The sequence below is a fragment of the Homo sapiens genome, chromosome 3 (genome assembly GCF_000001405.40).
Source record: "Homo sapiens chromosome 3, GRCh38.p14 Primary Assembly".
NCBI classification, from domain to species: Eukaryota; Metazoa; Chordata; class Mammalia; order Primates; family Hominidae; genus Homo; species Homo sapiens.
Window position 1 is genome coordinate 71864298 of NC_000003.12, and position 3293 is coordinate 71867590.

The window sequence follows — 3293 nt, forward strand, 5'->3', positions numbered from 1 at the left end:
CTGGAGAGATTTCAGGGATCAGCTATTTGAGGACTCTGAAAGTAAATAGTAGCAGATGCCGAGGGAAGAACCAAATTTGAAGCACCATCAAATCAGCTGTGAATTTACCCTTCTTCCTTCTCTGGTATCCACTGGCCTGAACTCAGTGCATCCTGAAACCTGAGATAGGCATCAATATGGACAGAGAAAGCTCCAGGAGAAGCCTCTAGTTCCGGCTTCAGGAAAGGGAGAGGAGCCTCCGAATATTGAGAGAGGGTGGGGAAATATGATTCTCTTCTTTTACTCTTTCTTTCTTCTGTTCTTTTGCTCCTCAGCCCACAGGTCATCTTGAGATGCTAATGGCAGTGGTTTCAGAGGTAGACACAGAGGCTCCCAGACACGGAGGCTCCTCATTGATAGGAGGAACTGTGGTCCCCAGAGAGGGAGGCAAACTTCTGTTGTTTCTTTACTGTCTCTGTCCCCATATTGGTCACAGCCATCAGCATAGCTGTGGAATGTATGGCAGAGGGCAGATAAATAAAGTCCCAGTTTTCTGTCTAAATGAGCAAATAGGGGCGCTCAGGGAGTGGAAAAGTGTCGAAGACATTCGGGAGAGAAGGGAGAAGATTGTTTACAAACTCCTGGACTCACCCCTGGGCTACTCACACCTGGATGTGACCCTACGCAACATATAGAGACCTTAGCACTGAACTAGGAATAGACGATCACCCAGGCTCTGGGCTGGGCCCCAGGTGGTGAACACAGCGGACAGATCTGAACAGCACTGCACTGCCAAGGAGTCAAAACTGAGTTTACCCTAAGACCACAACCCCCAGAGAGCTGGTTGGAAATTGACGTGTGAACCTGACTGGGTTGATTACCTGCTAAAATGAAAAAGTCAACACTTCCATGGGATTTAAGCAAAACCCAGGGTTTTGTAACATAATATTTAACATGTCCAGAATACAAGCCAAAATTACTCAGCATACAAAAAACAGGGAAATCTCGATGCACTCGGGAAAAGATGCCACCGCTGAGCTAACACAGATATTGGAATTATTTGACAAAAACTTTAAAGCAGCTATTAAGAAATGCTTCAGCAAGAAATCCTAAACACTCTTGAAATACATGGAAAAATGGAAAGTCTAAGGAAAGGAATGGAAAATGTAAAGAATGAAATAGATATTTTAAAACAGAAAACACGATAATGGAAATAAAGCTCACTTAACGGGCTCATCAGCTGAAGGAAGATGTAGCAGAAAAAGTCTGTGACCTTGAAGATAGATTAATAGAACGTATACAGTCTGAACAACAGAGAAGGAAAAAGATTAAAAAAAAAACAAACAGAGCTTGAGCGACGATACCAAAAGGTTTATCATTCCTCTCATTGGACTCTGAGAAGAAGATAAAGAATCAAGCATGCAAAATACTTTTGAAGAAATAACAACTTTAAAACTTCCCAAATTTGGCAAAAGGAATAAACCTGCTGAATTAGGAGGCTCAGCAAACTTCAAACAACATAAACCTTCAGGAAACCCATGCCCAGACATATCATAATAAAACTGAAAACCAAAGAAAAAGAAACAAATCTTGAAAGCAACGAGAGAACAATGGACACATTACTTATAGGAGAACAACAATTGAAGTGACTGCAGATTACTCATAAGAAACCACAGAGTTCATATTTCTGCACAGTATATATTTAAGGTGCTGAAAGAAAACAAATGTCAAGCCATAATTCTATTCCAGTAAGAATGTCCTGCAGGAATGAGTTGAAATAAGGACATTCTCAGGTGAATGAAAACTAAGATAATTCATTGCCAACAGCCGAAGGAATTTCCAAAGAAATTCTTCAGGCAAAAAGAAATGATACCAGAAGGAAACTTGGAACATCAGGAATGAAGAAAGAGAAAAGAAACGGTAAACTTACCAGAATGGTACATTTCTGGATAAATATAACACACTACTCTTCTCCTATTGAGTTAAAAAATATTATTGATGGTTGAAAGCCAAAATTATAACATTGTCTAATGGGGTTTTCACTGTATGTAAATGTGGTAAATAAAATAACTGCAGCAAAAAGCCTATATATGCTAAAGGTTTCTGTATTCAACTTGAGATGCTAAAATATTTGCAAGCAAAAAATGAAAAGTAGTAGGCAAAGGACATAAACAGACATTTTTCAAAAGAAGAACTACATGCAGCCAACAAGCATATGAAAAAATGCTTAATATCACTCATCATTAGATAAATGCAAATTAAAGCCACAATGAGATACAATCTCACACCAGTCAGAATGGCTATTTATTAAACAGTCAAAAAATAACAGATGCTGGTGAGGTTGTGGAGAAAAGGGAATGCTTACACACTGCTGGTAGGAATATAAGTTAGTTTAACCATTGTGGAAAGCAGTGTGGCAATTCCTCAAACAACTAAAAATGGAACTACCATTCAATCCAGCAATCTCACTACTGGGAATATACCCCCCAAAATATAAATTGTGCTACCATAAAGACACACGCATGTGTATATTCATTGCAGCACTATTCACAATAGCAAAGACATGGAATCAACCTAAATGCCCATCAATGGTAGACTTGATAAAGAAAATGTTTACATGTATACCATGAAATACTATGTGGCCAAAAAAAGAACGAGATCATATCCTCTGCAGGGACATGGATGGAACTGGAGGCCGTTGTCCTTAGCAAACTAATGCAGAAACAGAAAACCAAATACCACATGTTCTCACTTATAAGTGGGAGCTAAATGATGAGGACAGCTGGACAACACACACTGGGGCCTATTGGAGGGTGGAGGGTGGGAGAAGGGAGAGGTTCAGAAAAAAACCCCAAAACTCTTGGGTACTATGCTTAGCACCTGGGTAATGAAATAATCTATACACCAAACATCCAAGTCATGAGTTTACCTATGTAACAAATCTGCACATGTACCCCTGAACCTAAAATAAAAGTTAAAATATTTTAATAAATAAATAAATTGAAAAAAGAAAAGTGAAATGTTCTGTATATTGTAATCCCTGAAAGTATATTTTAAGTACTATTGCAAAATACTATTCAAAGAAATATAGTCATAAAAGAGGATACATACATACAAACTATGTTCTCAGATCATAATGAAATTAAATTAGAAATCAGTAACAGTAAGGTAGTTGGAAAATCTCAAAATACTGGGGAGAAACAGAATGGACAAATGAAATGGAATACAAAAACATGCTCGAATAACCAATAAAAAGGGCAGGAAAGGGGAAACAAGAACAGAAAACCCAGGGAACAAATAGAAAACAAATAATA